This window comes from Homo sapiens, chromosome X, assembly GCF_000001405.40.
Source record: "Homo sapiens chromosome X, GRCh38.p14 Primary Assembly".
In the NCBI taxonomy this organism is placed as follows: domain Eukaryota; kingdom Metazoa; phylum Chordata; class Mammalia; order Primates; family Hominidae; genus Homo; species Homo sapiens.
The window spans coordinates 135089634-135106485 of record NC_000023.11 but is presented as its reverse complement, the minus strand read 5'-3'; the positions used below and the strand labels follow the sequence as shown (position 1 = coordinate 135106485).

The following is a 16852-nucleotide window of genomic DNA, read 5'->3' as shown; positions in this document are numbered from 1 at the left end:
AATGGGAACTAAACATTAAGCACACATGGATATAAATATGGAAACAATAGACACTGTGGACTACTAGAAGGGGGAGGAGGGAGGAAGGGAGAAGGGTGAGTTGAAAACCGATCTGTTGGATACAATGCTCACTAGCTGGGTGACAGGATTCATATCCAAAACCTCAGCATCACACAATATTTCCATGTAACAAACCTGCAAATGTACCCCTGTGTATCTAAAATAAAAGCTGAGACTGGGCACAGTGACTCATGCCTGTAATTCCAGCACTTTGGGAGGTTCAGGTGGAAAGATTGCTTGAGCCTAGGAGTTTGAGACCAGCCTGGGCAACATAGTGAGACCCCCATCTCTACACAAAAAAATTTTAATTAGCGGGGCATGGTGGCATGGCCTGTAGTCCCAGCTGCTCAAGAGGCTGAGGCAGGATTGCTTGAGCCTGGGAGGCAGAGGTTGCAGTGAGCCAAGATCGCATGACTGAACTCCAGCTTGGGTGACAGCACAAGAGCCTGTCTCAGAAAATAAAATAAAATAAAAGTTGAAATTTAAAAATAAATAAATAATAATGCTGATTGTGAATGCAAATACACTGGGTTCACAGACTCCCACCTAACCTATCTCAGAGCCTCAGTTTCCACCTCCTTACAAGCCCCCTTCACTGCAAGTACAGGCAACAGAGACCTGTCACAACCCTTTAGTCACAACCCTTTCAAATTACTGGATTTTAGACGATAATTACTCTTCAAGATGGCTGCTGAAATTTAAAGATGCTAAAAAAGCTAAAGTGCAACATGAATATAACAATCAGACTCTTACAATGGAAATATTTTATGACTTGATAGAAACCTGACACGATCATCACCACGTTTCTGTGTGTGCCAGCTGGCATGGTACCTGGGGAAGATAAATGAGGCTACAACAATTTTTGGTCCCAATTCTGAATCCTCCCACAGACAAGGTGACAACTAGAGCTGGCTACAAACAGGAAATTCAGTCTGTAAAAACTGAAGAACTTGGAGTTTTAACAGCCAGTGAGCAACAATTTTTGATACATTTACAAAAATGTTTTTTAAAATTCTAAAAAGAGGAGGACTGTTCTCTCACTCTCAATAAAATATTAGAAACAGACACATAAAATGACAAACTATTCTCTCGATTGGTGGCAATGGCCACCTTCTGCGTTCCAAATAATCCTTGGGTTGGGAACCATTAGTGCTGGAAAGGAAATGGAAGTTCCACAGCTTCTGCCAGAATTCCAGGATTTCAGAAAGAACACTATAAACTGAAGAAATGAAAAGTAAGGAAGAGAGGCACGGGGTGATATTTCCTCTAAATCTCAATGTTGACCGGAAAGTTGGAGGGCTCTAGGGCTCCATTTGCTGTGGCTGGACAGAAGAAATTTCACTGGCTGTTGTGTTCTAAAAGCTACCTGCAAAGTATCCCTTTGTCCAAAACACAGACTACTCCCCCATACAGGGGGCAGCAGGCAGATGCAGGCAGGCAGAGCCTCAGTGGCCCCAGCACAGCTGCTGGGAGCTCAGGCTGATGTGCAAAATGCTAATTCATTAAGAAACGATATCCAGTTGCTTATGAAGCAGGGGCATTTTCCTCTCTCCAGCTGCCATGCCCCTTTGCTGGAGCACATGGCATGCTATGAAAGTGGCGGGGCAGAGGAAGGCTTGGGTTACTTTTTGGAGGGCAGGGCCATGTTGAGGTGCAGATGCTCCAGCCAGGGCTGTTTCACTAAAATCTCACTAAAACAAATCTGTTCTAGAAGAGTGTAGTGAGCTTGAGGGATTTCAGAGCTGATCAAAGAAAAAGATATGACCATGAGGTGGACACAGCACACAACAATCTTCATTTACATGACTTGCATATAAAGGGAAGTCTCTCACTGAATGAGATCTTCCAGAGGTTAAGGTGAAGGGAGAGAGGCAACGTGCACCCAATGTGAAAAACAGTTTGGCATTTCCTCAGAATGTTCAATACAGAACTGCCATGCATTTATCCATTTTTGTGTTGCTATCAAGAAATACTTGAAGCTGAGTAATTTGTAAAGAAAAGAGGTGTAATTGGCTTACAGTTCTGCAGCCTGTACAAGCATGACACCAGCATCTGTTCAGCTTCTGGTGATGCCTTAGGAAGCTTACAATCATGGCAGAAGGTGAAGCAGGAGCAGGCACATCACATGGCAAAAGTAGAAGCAAGAGAGAGTGAAGGAGGAGATCCCAGACTCATTTAAATAACCAGATCTTGCTCGAACTGAGAGAGAACTCACTCATCACCAAGAGGATGGCACTAAGCCATTCATGAAAGATGCATCCCCATGATCTAATCACCTTTCATCAGGCCCCACCTCCAATATTGGGGGTCATATTTCAACATGAGATTTGGAGGGGACCAATATCCAAACCATATAATACCATATGACCCAGCAATTTTTCTTTGAGGTAGTATACCCAAAAGAATTGAAAACAAACATTCACGTACCGTACACCCAAATGAATTGAAAACAAACATTCAAACACATACTTGTACAAAATGTCCATAGTTGCAGTATTTACAATAGTTAAAAGGTGGAAATGAAGCAAATGCCCTTAAATGGATGAATAAACAAAATTTGGTACATCCATTATTATTCAGCCATAAAAATGAAGCACTGAGAGATGCTACCACATGGATGAACTTCAAAAACATTATGGTAAGTGAAATAAGCTAATGACAAAGAACACATACTATATGATTTCATCTACATGAAATATCCAGAATAGGCAAATTTAAAGAGACAGAAAGCAGATTCGTGGTTGCCATGAGCTAGGACCAGGAAGAGGATGGGTTGTAACTGCTTAATGAGTATCATTTGGGGTGGTAAAAAAGATTTGGACCTAGATAGTGGTGATGGTTGCACATCATTGTGCCAAAGATGGCCAACAAGCACACAACAACATACTCAACATAATTAGTCACTGGGTGCTTAAAAATCAAAATCACAGTGAGATGCATATCCACTAGGGTGTTACAATACAAAAGACAGGCAATAAAAAATGTTGGCAAGGATGTGGAGAACTTATAACTTTCATACATTGCTAGTGGGATTGTTAAATGTTACAGCCATTTTGGCAAACCCTCTGGCTGTTCCTCAGAAAGTTAAACATTGAGTTACCACATAGTCCAGCAATTTCACCGCTAGTTATATACCCAAGAGAAATGAAAATATATGCCCACACAAAAATTTGTACATAAGCATTCACAGCAGTATTATTCACAATAGTTAAAAAAATGGAAACAACCCAAACGTCCATCATAAACCAAAAATAAAATTCTTAGGTCACACAACCATCTGAATGGATTCCTCCTATCATCCAAAGGCATTCCAAAGTTAACCTGAAAAACTAATTCAGGCCATGATTGCAAGGGGGACCCAGAAATACCTCATTATACCCTCCTCCCTTTTGGAATTACTGATAGAAGAAACTCTAACTCTGATAAGAAACACTTACAATCTATTCTCTCCGAAGCCTGCTACCTGAAGGCTTCATCTGCATGATAAACCTTGGTCTCCACAACCCTTTCTCATAACCAAGACATTCCTTTCTATTGATAATAACTCTTTCAACCAATTGCCAATCAGAAAATCTTTAAATCTACATATAACCTGGAAGTCTCCCACTCCCCTGCTTCTAGTTGTCCTGCCTTTCTAGCCCAAAGCAATGTCCATCTTAACATGTATTGATTGATGCCTCATGTCTCCCTAAAATGTATAAAACCAAGCTGTACCCCAGCCACCTCTGACACATGTCATCAGTAACTCCTGAGGCTGTGTCACAGATGCATCCTTAACCTTGGCAAAATAAACTTTCTAAATTGATTGGGACCTCTCATAGATACTTTTGATTTACACCAAATTTGCTCTATCTATGCAACTGAATGTTATTCAGCCATAAAAAAATGAAATAATGATATTTACTATATAATGAACATTGAAAACTTTCTGCTAAGTAAAAGAATCAGTTCACAATATACCATATATTGTATGCTCCATTTATATGAAATGTCCAACATAGGCAAATCCATGAGATAGAAGGTATATTAACTTTTGCCAGTATAGACCATCCTCCTCATGAGTTTTTAAAATGGTGTTTGATGGTTGAAGCAGAAACTATTATGTCATCTGATGCGATGCTCAATATATGTAGAGGACATACCTAAAACATTTGTATTAAAAGTGAGGAGGGTAAATAGCCCTAAATGGAAGATTTCTACACCTTACTGGAAATGGTTTAAAATGTCGATGCCAGTAGATTGTGATAAGTTAATATGTATATTGTAATACCCAGAGTAACCACTAAAGTATCCATAAAAAGACATATATTTAAAAAAAAAAAACACTATAGATAAATCAAAATACCCCCTTACAAGGGGATGGGGGAGGGGAGAATGGGGATTCATTGCTAAGGGGTACAGAGTTTCTTTTTTGTGGAAGAAAAATGTTCTAAAATGAGATAGTGGTGATGGTTGTACAACTTTGCAAATATCCTAAAAACTATTGAGTTGCACATTTTAAAAGGATGGATTTTATGATATATAAATTATATCTCAAAAAATCTGTTAAAAATAAATACTAGTAAATAAATAAGCATGTTCTAATCTCATTCTTTCTGAAGCCAAACATCTATATAGAAAAAATAAAATAAAACTGGTACCCCACATATGTAGTATACAGTCCCATTGCAGGTGCCTCATTTTAAGAGAAATATTGATAAAATGGCCTATTTCCAGAGGACTGCGATGCAGATGATAAAGGAACTGACCTTATGAAGAACACTTGAAAGAAAAGTTTGTTGTTTAGAGAACAAATATTTAGTAAGGAAACATGAGTGTTAACTTCAACTATCTGAAAGTCTACCATGCTAAAGGGTTAACCTACTATTGTGCAAAATTTAGAATTTATACCAATGGATTGAAACTGTCTTTGTTCGAAATAAGGAATGGACCATCTTGAGAAGCAATAACGTTCCTGTCACTTAATCGTTCTAGCACCAGCTGGAAATTCATCATTGGTCAGGGATATTGTTAAAATAAGTCCTCTATGAGGGAGGATATTAAAATAGATGGTCTTAAAGATCCTCTCCAATTGTAAGATTTTGAGCTTCCAAGTTCAATTTCTAAAATTTATTTCCATTATAAAATTATGTATAGTTTTGGGGGGAAATGGTTTGTTTATGGGGAACATTAAATTATGCTTGAGAATGAGTAAATCTTTAAAATTAAGAACATTTGAAGTGAGTTTCTTATAAATAGGATATACTTGAGTCATGGTTTTTGTTTTATATCCATTCTACCTATCTCTATCTTTTAATTGGTATGCTTAGACCACTTACATGTACATTAATTATTGATATATTAGGACTTCAGTGTGACATATTATTATATGTTTTTTCTTTGTTAATTTTGTTTCTTGTTCTTCTGTTTCCATATATTACCTTCCTTTGGGTTACTTGAACACTCTTTAGAACTTCATTTTGATTTATCCATAGTGCTTTTTTAAAAAATATATGTCTTTGTATAGTTACTTTAGTGGTTACTGTAGGTGTATTAGTTCGGTCTCACGCTGCTACAAAGAAATACCAGAGACTGGGTAATTTATAAAGGAAAGAGGTTTAATTGACTCACAGTTCCACATTGCTGGGGAGGCCTCAGGAAACTTTCAATCATGGCAGAAGGCAAAAGAGAAGCAGGCACCTTCTTAACAGGGTGGCAGGACGGAGTGAGTGCAAGCAGGGGAAATGCCAGACACAGACATCTATAAAACCATCAGCTCTTGTGAGACTCACTCATTATCACAAGAACAGCATGGGGGAAACTGTCTCCATGATTGAATTACCTCCACCTGGTCTGGCCCTTGACATGTGAGGATTATAGGGATTACAATTCAAGATGAGATTTGGGTGGGGACACAGAGCCAAACCATATCAATAGGAATTACAATATACATATTAACTTATCACATTCTACTACCATGGATATTTTAAACCACTTCCAGTAAGTTGTAGAAATCTTACTTCCATTTAGGTTTATTTACCTGCCTCACTTTTAATACAAATGTTTTAAGTATTTCCTCTCTATATATTAAGCATCACATCAGATGACATAATAGTTTCTGCTTCAACCATCAAACATCATTTTAAAAACTCATGAGGAGGATGGTCTATTATATCTACCCCTATATTTACTCTTTCCAATTGTTCTTTTTCCTTCCTGAAATGCCATCATCTTTCTGTTATTTCTGTTTAGGGAACTTCTTTCTGCCATTCTTTAAGCATAGGTCTGTTACTCACAAATTCTCTTAATCTTCTTTTATCTGAAAATATCTTTATTTCCATTTCATCCTTAAAAGATGTATTCATGGATATAGAATTTGTAGCCCCATCTATTGTCCTAGCTACTCCAGAGCCTGAGGCAGGAGGATCGCCTGAGCCCAGAAGTTCAAGGCTGCCATGAGCTATGACTAAACCACTGCACTGCAGCCTGGGCAACAGAGTGAGACCCTTTCTCTAAAAAATTATTTAATTGTGTTTGGCAGCAGGTGGAAAAGTGGACTACCAATCAGCCCTGCACCACACCATTTCCTTCAGTTTCCTTGATGCTCAGTTTTGTCTTTTTTTACATGATCATGTAGGTAGGACAATTGCCTAATCAGTGTATATGAATCTACTACGTTCCTTAAACAGTTACGTGGGATACCATAGAGATGATCAAGTGTGACGGCGAACAGGTATTTTGAGAGTTCTTAAATACCCACGTCAATCTTTGCTGTGAAAACTGGGATGGGGTCGGGTGAACCTTCTTCTTGCGGACAGTTTTTCAAAAGTCATGACCATAACAAAGTGTGAGTATTTCCCGGCTTTATTAAACAGTCCGAAAAAACGCTACTGGGTTTTGATTGGTTTACATTTAATAAAGATTGAATGAAACCACAAAAGGGCTTTTAAGCACACCGGCAAAAAAAAAAAAAGGCCATAAATAAGAGCAAATGAAAACCCGAGACAACATTGTATGGATCAAGAAGACTGCTGAGAAAGGGAAGGACAACGGGGAAATTCGCCAACACAGAGATATACGTGACCAGCAAATACAACAGAAAGGGAAAAATGCACGCTTGTGGGTTTGGTGGCACTCTTTAGCGCAGAATTACTGCACTATGCGCATTAAAGAGAAATGCGAATTAAAGAAAGGTCTTGGCTGGCAAGTTTTCAGGGGAGACCGTGGGAGAAGGGGAGTGATATGAACAGGCAGAGTCTTCTGCATGTGCTTTCTGTACAGAATCAGCTTAGCGGTCCAGACTGTCCTCCTCCACTCCTGCTCCACCCTAGGAGACAGTGTCACAGCAATCGATCCCTGGCAGCTCCGCCCTTCAATCCGCTCCTGCCTTGGGAGGCGCCCGAAAAGAGGCAGGGCTTTGTGGGCGGAACCGGGCGGTGGGCGGAGCTGAGAATGCAGGGCGGGTCTAGTGGGCGGGGCCGCTACGCCGACGGCCTCTCTGCCGGGGGCGAGGCTGTTAGGGGCGGAGCTATGCTGGGGGGCGGGGCCCGCAGTGACGTGATGTGGAGCGGATGGAGCTGTGCGGGCTCGTGGAGGAGGGACCGAGGCAGTGGCCCCTGAAGCAAGGCTCAGTCTGGAGAACCCGAGGGCGGGGCGAGGGTGGGGAGAGGGCGGGGCGAGGGTGGGGCGAGGGCGGGGCGGACGTCGCTCTCCCGGCGGCCGGCGGGGCGCGCTAGTGTTGGGGTCCCGCCGTCCTGAGGCTCGAGCTCTTGCGGGTCGATCGGTCGGCGGGGCCTGCGCGGGGCCCGGGCCCATGGCGGCGTCGGCGGCTCTGTCTGCGGCGGCGGCGGCGGCAGCCCTGTCTGGCTTGGCGGTTCGGCTGTCGCGCTCGGCGGCGGCCCGAGGCTCATACGGCGCCTTCTGCAAGGGGCTCACGCGCACGCTGCTCACCTTCTTCGACCTGGCCTGGCGGCTGCGCATGAACTTCCCCTACTTCTACATCGTGGCCTCGGTGATGCTCAACGTCCGCCTGCAAGTGCGGATCGAGTGAGCGCCGGCGGCGGCGGCGGCCGCGGAGGCCCGGCTGGAGGGGCGACAGTGTCCCCGCCCGCCCCCGGCCGGGTCGCGGGCATGAAGGACAGCTGGATCGCGGCGGGGGGCGGAGGTGGGGCGGCCCGGGCCCCTGGACTCTAGACCTACGCCGCCCGGGCACGAAGGCCCAGCCCTGGCCCTGGCCGCGGTCTCAGCCCGGGACCCCGGATCGCGCAGAAATGCACTGAACAGGCCCCTACAATTGGGCTCCAGAAACTACCTGAGCTCGGACTACCTGTTGCCTCACATTGGCAAAAGAGGGGGAAACCAGAAGGAGGGAATTCTGCTGCGGCGACTTGACTTTCCCCGCCCCGAGCAGAAAGGTAGGAGGCGACAGGTTGGAATGGGGGAGGGGCTGTGGCTCTGCCCTGCAGAGGTCGGGGCGCCTTGGCAGTTGGGGGGAAATATGGAAGGCACCGGAGCAAACCAGCCCGAAGAGCTGTGGAGCCCAGGTGGGGAAAGGAAAGGCAGCCGCAGGCTCTCCCCTCCTCCCCAGTCATGATTGCAGGATAGGGTGAGGGGCAGCCGCCTCCCGCTCATTCCCCAGTGCCGGCCTCCCTTTCCGCAGAGGCCCCCAGGGTGTCCACTGAAACCTGGGGAATGGAAGGTAGTGGGCTGGGGGCGGCCCCGGGAAGGCCCTAGAGGAGCAACGATGCCCCCACCCTTCTCTTCCCCACCAGTCGGTGGGCATAGGGAGGACGGTTCTCTTCTAGGCCGAGCCCTACGTCTGTTCTCTTCTCAGCCCTCAGCCCTGGGTCTCTCTGCAGCTCCTGCACAGCCCTTGGCAAAACTGCCTCCTGCCCTGTCTTTGGGGCCAGAGGACTGGTCTCTCCCTGCTCCTGCTGTCCGTCGTGTTCCCCTGCCCCTACCTGAGGGCACCCTGCAAGCTTTGCATTTGGAGACTGGGAAGAGTGGGAGAGACGCATTCCTACCGTCCCCTCCCCCCACAGTCTTGCTCTTCCGCCATGTCAGCCCATGCTCCCTAAGGACCGTAGCTAGCAAGGCCCTCCCAGGGCCAGAGTCCCATCCTCCAGCCCCAGACGGCCTCGAGAAGCCCACTGTGTACTGAAGTGATCTGGGAAAAAGAGACCTCCCTGAGCACACAGCAGCTCTCAGCCTGGGGTGGGCAGAGCAGATGGAGGAGGGGCTTGCAGAGGAGGCCATTCCTGGGGGAAGCAAGGACGTATCTGGTGGCCAGGCAACTGAGGTCCCCATCTCTTTCTTTCTCTTTCAGGCATTGACGTTTGTAGGCGGTGACCCGCCCCTTCTCTGGCCTTGCCAAGAGTCTCATCCCTACCCTGGGGCACCTCTGACCCTGGACCTGCTTGGGCAGAGGCAGCGTGAAGGGCCTGAACAAGAGGAGAAGAAGGGCCTTCCTAGTAGAGGCACAGCATGGACAAAGGCTCACAGGGGTGGGGGTGCCCAGTGATCGAGTCCTGGCTTGGGAGGGAAGGTCTGAGTTCCCTGGGAACTGAAATCGGCTAGCAGCACTGTGAGAGAGGTGTATTTCCCCCTCCTAATGACAGAGGAAACCGAGGCTTCGGGGAGGGGGGGATTTGCCCTTGACATGCAGATAGGATGAGGAGGAACTGCGTGTGCCCCTGGGCCTGCAGGCTCCCACACCCCTCCCCAGTCTTCTCCAAGACCTGGCATGATGGGAGGAGGGAGGGGAAAGTGAAGAGGGAAGCATAGGGCTCCTAGGGCACCAAGGGAGAGGGGCCCAAGGGTAGGGAATCTGGGGATCTCGCTTTCTTTGGAGCAGTACAGAAGATCACAGGAAAGATTAGGACAGACAGCTGAGATGGCAGACAGGAGAGATGGGCCCCAGGATCCCTGGGGAGCCAAGCTTTCCCCCACAGCCTAGCCTCCCCACCCCACCTGGAGCTTCACCAAGGGCTTTTCAGCAGTGAAGTGGCACAAACCTCCCAGTTTGGTGGGCAAGTGGGGCTGATGGTGGTGTCATGGCTCCTGGAGACACGACATAACCAGGAGGGTGAAGGGATAAACCTGGGGTGGGCTGGGGCTGAGACCCATGGCATGACCCCAATTCTCTCTCCTCAAGCTCGACCCCCCCGCCATCCCCAGGATCACACAGGAGAATCTCATCCTCACGGCTTGGATTGGTCCTGGGGGCCCCCGGTTGTGCTGCTAACTGGTGTACAATGCTCAAGAGCAGCCCAGAGGGGAGCCAGGAAGGGACCCTCGCCCTCACCTGCTATCCCCATTTCCGCATCTCTTGCACTGGTACCCTGAGGGCCACATTCTCAGTTCCTGGGATTGAAAACTGCAGCAGTCTGGCCAGCTCCAGGGACAGAGTGATCCAACCACCTACCACGTACCCTCCTCAGCAGGCCACTGGACCCAGGTCCTGAATGAAGCTGTCCGCCTGCCTCACCCCAGAAGAGGCTGGACAGTGGCTGCCTCGTGCCCCCTGCAGTCTCCCACAGCCAGGGCCCGATGGGGTGCCTCCTTGTCCCAAGTCTCCTGAGAACCCCTGACCTTGCTGGCCTCTCTCATCCGCCCCAACCCTGTCCACCCTTGACCACCTCTGGGGGCCTGTCAGCCTGCTGGTCCCCCCAACAGATCTCTGGGGGCAGCCTCTGTGGGACAAGAGTGATACAGAGCTGGAGGAGAAGAGGAGTGAGGGGCCTCCTTGTGTCTGATGCACAGATGTGGCCCTTTCAAACCCTGGTGTCACCCTCTGGGTGACTGGATCCCTAGCTCCAGCCTCTTCCTGGGCCAGCCAGGAAGGGTGGAGGAAAGTTCTTTGCTGATTGCATGTGTGATACAGTGGGGGGTGCCTGAGCCCTCCCCATGCAAGGGGCTCATCCTGGGACTCTGGAAGCTGCTTCCCTACTGGGAGAAATGTGTGTCGGAGCTGCAGGGGTCCCTACCCTCAGAGACCCCCGACTGCAGGGAACCCACCCCATAAGAGGGTCACGGATGTCCATGTCCGCCCACCCCCCGTGGCTTCTGCTGTGGCTATATTGGCCTAGAGGGGCTGACTGGGGAGGAGCAGGGCTAAGCCCTCAGCATTTGCTCCTGTCCCTGCCTTTTCACCCCTGCTGCCTGAAGTGGTAGCCCCGCCTGCTGCTTCTCTACCTCCCCTCCCCACCTCTTCTCTCCCCTACAGGGCCCTTGCTGCGTGATGGGGTCTCCATGCACTTTATTTATTTGCAGTCTGTTTTCTAGGCGGTGGAGCTTCTAGACACCGACCGGAATGACATACGTTTCTGTGTGTGATTCACTGTGTACTGGTCAGCACAGGCTGGCCAGAGAGATGTTCTTGTTTCTGGTGTTGTCACGTCTTCTTGTTTTCTCTAAGTTTAAAAAAAAAAAAAAGTCCTTGGTTTAATACACTAAAATCCCAACTGGAGGCCTTCCGTGTCTGGTGGGGGTGATGCAATGGCCCCAGGTGGAGAGAGGCCCCATGGTGAGGTCACCGGCTCCCATGGCAAGGTCACCGGCTCCCATGGCCAGGAGCTGGCAGGGAAAAGCCTCTGAGGAGTAGGGCTGGGGGAGGCTGTGGCAGGGACCGTGTTTCCTGTTCAGAGGCTGTGCTGAGAACCGACTTGACCCAGACCACTGCCCCATGAGAAGCAGGCAGCAGCCTGGCCTGGCCCTGAGAGGTGGCTGCTTGTCCTGTTGACAGTCTCTGTTCAAATGACCCAAAACATAAGTCCTCTTCCGTTTTAGAGTCTGGTGATCAAAAGTGCCTAAGTCAGTAGAATCCTGAGGGTGGACTAGGGTGAAGTGAACTGAAACAGACTCCACGCAGGTCATTTCGTGTAGCGCTGAGACCCTTCTCCCTGCCTGAGGTCACCTCCCACTGCCTCCCTACCAGCCAGGTTACTGCAGAACCCTGGAGAAGATAAAGGACCTGGCCCTAGAAGCCTCCTTCCCTTCCCCAGCCTTGGAGGCAAACTCTGTCCCATCAGAGTCCCCCTCCTTAGTGGCTCCCACAGGAGAGAGCTCCCTAATGGCTGCTGTAAGGGTTGGCAAGCAGGCAAAAGGTGGGAGAGGGAAGGCCGAGGGGAGTGTTAGAGGAAGATGCCTAGGTGAGAGGCATCCTGAGGACACAGGGCTATGCTCAGACTCAGGAGTGCAGTCTGAGTTTAGGGGCCCTGGGGGCACTCCTGTTGCCAAGGGCTACCCAGGGGTCACAGCACCCTGATAAGAACCCCTCCAAAAGCACTAGTGCCAACATCCTATGGCATCTGCCACCACAGGAGAAATGGACCCCAGTCCCTGAGCTTCCCTCCCCTTTGTCTAGATGGTCCTCTTCAGTCCCTGATGGTCCCATCCCCACTCCAGGGATCACGTGACTTGGCAAACCAAGATGGGGGATGATACCCCCAGAGCCTGGCTCCAAGGCCTCCTGAAGAGGCCCATCCTTGCAACAGAGGAAGGGAAGGCAGGAAGGCCGGTTCTGCTCAAATGGGACCCCAGGAGACCAAAGCCCTGAGCCGTGAATCCAGCTCTTCCACTTACTACTGTATGGTGCCAGGCAAACTGCACAACCTGGAGTTTTTAGTAAGGTTCCTTTGGGATGCTTGTCAGCAGCGAATACAATGTCTGTTCAACGTTTGTCATCAGCTCTCACCTGGAGAAGCCTTGTTACTGTGGGGAAAGGGAACCAAGTGAAGGGAACGGACATCCGATGAGAGCCTGCCATGTGCCAGGCACCATTCTAGGTGCTTTGCATTCCTAATCTCATCATAATCCCACAACCACCTAACCTTTATCTCCATTTTACAGAGAAATCAAGGACAGGAACCAAGTCTGAAATAGAACCCCAAGCAGAATCTCTTTTCCTGAGCTCCCAGTGCCCCTGGAGAGGCAGGGAATTGGGCTGGAGTAATGGTGGAATGGAATAGCAAAGGTGGAAGATGACCCTGTTCTTTCTGGGTGGGGTCCAGGAGGCAGATAAGAAATCCAGGTGTGCCTGGGTGCGGTGGCTCATGCCTGTAATCCCAGCACTTTGGGAGGCCAAGGCGGGCGGATCACAAGGTCAGGAGTTCAAGACCAGCCTGACCAACATGGTGAAACCCCGTCTCTACTAAAAATACAAAAATTAGCTGGACGTGGTGGCGCATGCCTATAGTCCCAGCTACTTGGTTGGCTGAGGCAGGAGAATCGCTTGAACCTGGGAGGCAGAGGTTGCAGTGAGCCAAGATCTGGGCAACACAGTCAGACTCCGTCTGAAAAAAAAAAAAAAAAGAAAAAGAAAAGAAAAATCCAGGGCTTGGATGGGGGACAGACCTGGGAGCCCTCTCCAAATGGAGCTCCCCAGTGGGCGCAGCTGGGGCCACCCTGAGATGGGTTCACCTGTCTTTTCTCCATCCTCCCTCCAGAGATTGATTGGGACCTAAGAGATTGAGTCAGGAGAGGGCAAGAGAGCAGCTAAGCAGGCAGTTCCGGGGGCACCAGAGCAAATACATTAAGAAGTGGGAAATATAAAGAGCATGCAAAACCTCATCCTACTCCTGTTCACCCACCCACAAGGGAAACTGCTGCGTTTGGACAAATTTCTACTTTGTGTTGGTGGAGGGAAGGAGAAAGAACATACTACTTTGAAAACTTCTCCTCCCACTTCATCTTTATCTTTCCATGTTATTAGGTATTTTTCTATATCCAAAGCCACCTAGTAGTCTCTTGTGTGAAGGTATCATGCATTTCTCATGCCTCTTGGTTGTTTCCCTTTATTGTTTATTTGGGGAGTTTGGTTTCTTGGTTGTTTGGTTTTTTTCTGTGGTTTTGTTTTTATAAACATTCCAGTAACAGATAAGTTGGACCTCATCAAAATTAAAAACTTTTGTGCATAAGAAGTCACTATCAGGACAGTGAAAACACAACCTGCAGAGTGGGAGCAAATATTTTAAAATATATATCTGATAAGAGACTTGTATCCAGAAATATAAAAAGAACTCTAGCTACTCAACAAAAAAAGACAGACAACCCAATCAAAATATGGGCAAAGAGTTTCAATACACATTTCTCCAAAGAAGTGATACAAATGGCCACCAAGCACATAAAGATGCTCAATGTCATTAGTCATTAGGGAAATGCAAATCAAAACCACAATGAGCTCACCTCACCCACTTCACACATTAGGATATTTATTTATTTATTTATTTATTTAGAGACAGAGTCTTCAATGCCCAGGCTGGAGAGCAATGACACAATCTCAGCTCACTGCAACCTCTGCCTCCTGGGTTCAAGTGATTCTCATGCCTCAGCCTCCCAAGTAGCTGGGATTACAGACGTGCACAACCACACCTGGCTAGTTTTTGTGTTTTTTGTAGAGGCGGGATTTCACCATGTTGGCCAGGCTGGTCTTGAACTCCTGGCCTCAAGTGATCAACCCTCCTCAGCCTCCTAAAGTGCTGGAATTACAGGTGTGAGTCACCACGCACAGCTCAACTTTTTTTAAAAAAATTAAAATAACACGTGTTGGTGAGGATGTGGAGAAATTGGAACCCTTGTTCATTACTAATGGGCATGTAAACTGGTACAGCAGCCACTGTGGAAAACAGGTGGTTCCTCAAATAGTTAAACCTAGAATTATCCTATAGCCCAGCATTTCCACTCCTAGGTACATACTCAAATGACTGAAAGCTGGTACTCAAACATGAATTTTCATAGCAGCACTATTTACAATAGCTAGAAGGTGGAAACAACCCAAATGTCTATCAGTCTATCAACTGATGAATGAATAAACAAAACTTGGTATATTTATACACTGGAATATTATTCAGCCCCAAAATAATCCCACAATGAAGGATTTGATACATATTACAAGGTGGATGAACTTTGAAAATATTATGCTAAGTGAAAGAAATCAGACACGAAAGATTACAAATTTTATGATTCCATTTATATGAAATGTCTAGAATATGTAAATTCATACAGACAGAAAGCAGATTAGTGGTTGCCATGGTCTAGGGGAGGGAAGGATGGAGAGTGACTGCTTAATGAGTACAGGGTCTCCTTTTAGGGAGATGAAAATGTTTTGGAACTAACAGTGGTGATGGTTACACAACATTGTGAATGTACTAAATGCCACTGAATTATACATTTCAAAATGGTTGATTTTATGTTATGTGGATTTCAACTCAATAATGAAAACAAAATTTGCTGACACATTTTACTATCTCACCACTGGGCCTTTTCCATAGATGAACTTCTCTCCTGGCCTTTCATTCAATCCCCTGCAGCCCTTGTCCTGCCCCTGTGGTATAAAAAGCTTACAAAAGTAGCCCCATCCCATTAGTTCCCAAGCAATCCTAGCCCTCAACTCCTTCCCCATTAGGGTGGCTCAGAGAGTGGGAATCTCTAGTGAACGATGGGATCATTGAGGACTGATCTGGCCATATTCCTCAACTGCCTGACCAGTGGAGAACAGCACAGACTCCTTGACTCTTCCTCCTGGCCTCCTGTTTTGGAGAAAAAGCAGAACATTCCCCTCCCATGCTGGCAGGCTCGCCCACACTGCCTTTAGTCTGGGCTCCTGGCTCTAACCCTGGGGCCTTCTCCTTGGACATGGATGTCTTGGCCTTGTAGTTAATGGATGCCACAAACACATGAATGCCTGACCCTCTGGACACAACCCCACATCATCTCACATTCCCAGTTCCTCCCAGGAAGAGGATCAAGTGACAAGCAGGACCCCAGGCAACAGCAACCAGCCGAGGCGGCTCAGTCACTTGCCACAATATTTAAATATGACATTGATGAAGAGCAGACATTGAGTCTGTATTAGTCTATTCCTACACTGCTATGAAGAAATAACCAAGACTGGGTAATTATAAAGAAAAAGGGTTTACTTGACTCACAGTTCTGCATGGCTGGGGAGGCCTCAAGAAGCTTACAATCATTGTGGAAGGGGAAGCAAACACATCCTTCTTCACAAGGTGGCAAGAGAGAGAAGTGCCGAGCAAAGGGGGAAAAACCCCTTATAAAACCATCAGATTTCATGAGAACTCACTCATTATCATGAGAACAACATGGGGTAACCAAGCCCATGATTCAATTACCTCCCACCGGGTCCCCTCCACCACATGTGGGGATTGTGGGAACTATAATCCAAGATGAGATTTGGGTGGGGACACAGCCAAACCATATCATTCCACCCCTGGCCCCTCCCAAATCTCATGTCCTCACATGTCAAAACACAACTATGCCTCTCCAACAGTCCCCTAAAGGCTTAGCTCATTCCAGCATTAACCCAAAAGTCCAAATCCAAAGTCTGAGACAAGGCAGTTCCCTTCTACATAAGAGCCTGTAAAATTGAAAGCAAGTTAGTTACTTCCTAGATATGATGTGGGTACAGGCATTGGGTAAATACATACATTCTAAATGGGAGAAATCGGCCAAAACAAAGGGGCTACAGGCCCCATGCAAGTCCGAAATCCAATAGGCCAGTCATTATGCCTTAAAGTTCCAAAATTATCTCCTTTGACTCCATGTCTCATATCCAGGTCATGCTGATGTCCACGGCCTTGGGCAGCTCTGCCCTTGTGGCTTTGCAGGGTACAGCCCCCCTCCCAGCTGCTTTCACAGGCTGGCATTGAGCATCTGTGGCTTTTCCAGGCACACGGTGCAAGCTGTTGGTGGATCTGCCATTCTGGGGTCTGCAGTCTGGAGAATGGTGGCCCGCTTCTCACAGGTCCACTAGGCAGTGCCCCAGTGGTGACTCTGTGTGGGGGCTCCAACTCCACAT

General features: G+C 47.5%; 1 protein-coding gene across 1 annotated transcript, besides 2 other annotated features; it reads left to right on the top strand.

Annotated features, from left to right (window-relative positions):
• Positions 7413-7707: an enhancer, noted in NCBI's record as "tiled region #8062; K562 Activating DNase unmatched - State 4:PromP". NCBI's record gives its function as "activates a minimal TATA promoter and a strong SV40 promoter by Sharpr-MPRA in K562 cells {active_cell/tissue: K562}" and the evidence as "EXISTENCE:reporter gene assay evidence [ECO:0000049][PMID:27701403]".
• Positions 7706-7955: a silencer, noted in NCBI's record as "silent region_21018". NCBI's record gives its function as "represses an Ori minimal core promoter by ATAC-STARR-seq in GM12878 lymphoblastoid cells {active_cell/tissue: GM12878}" and the evidence as "EXISTENCE:reporter gene assay evidence [ECO:0000049][PMID:35858748]".
• Positions 7774-11501, top strand: SMIM10L2B (small integral membrane protein 10 like 2B). The gene is made up of 2 exons (NM_001348255.2): positions 7774-8453; positions 9365-11501. Exon 1 carries the CDS (start codon positions 7853-7855, stop codon positions 8087-8089), a length of 237 nt encoding a protein of 78 aa, NP_001335184.1. The 5' UTR covers positions 7774-7852; the 3' UTR covers positions 8090-8453; positions 9365-11501.
• Positions 11502-16852: the final 5351 nt, after the last annotated feature.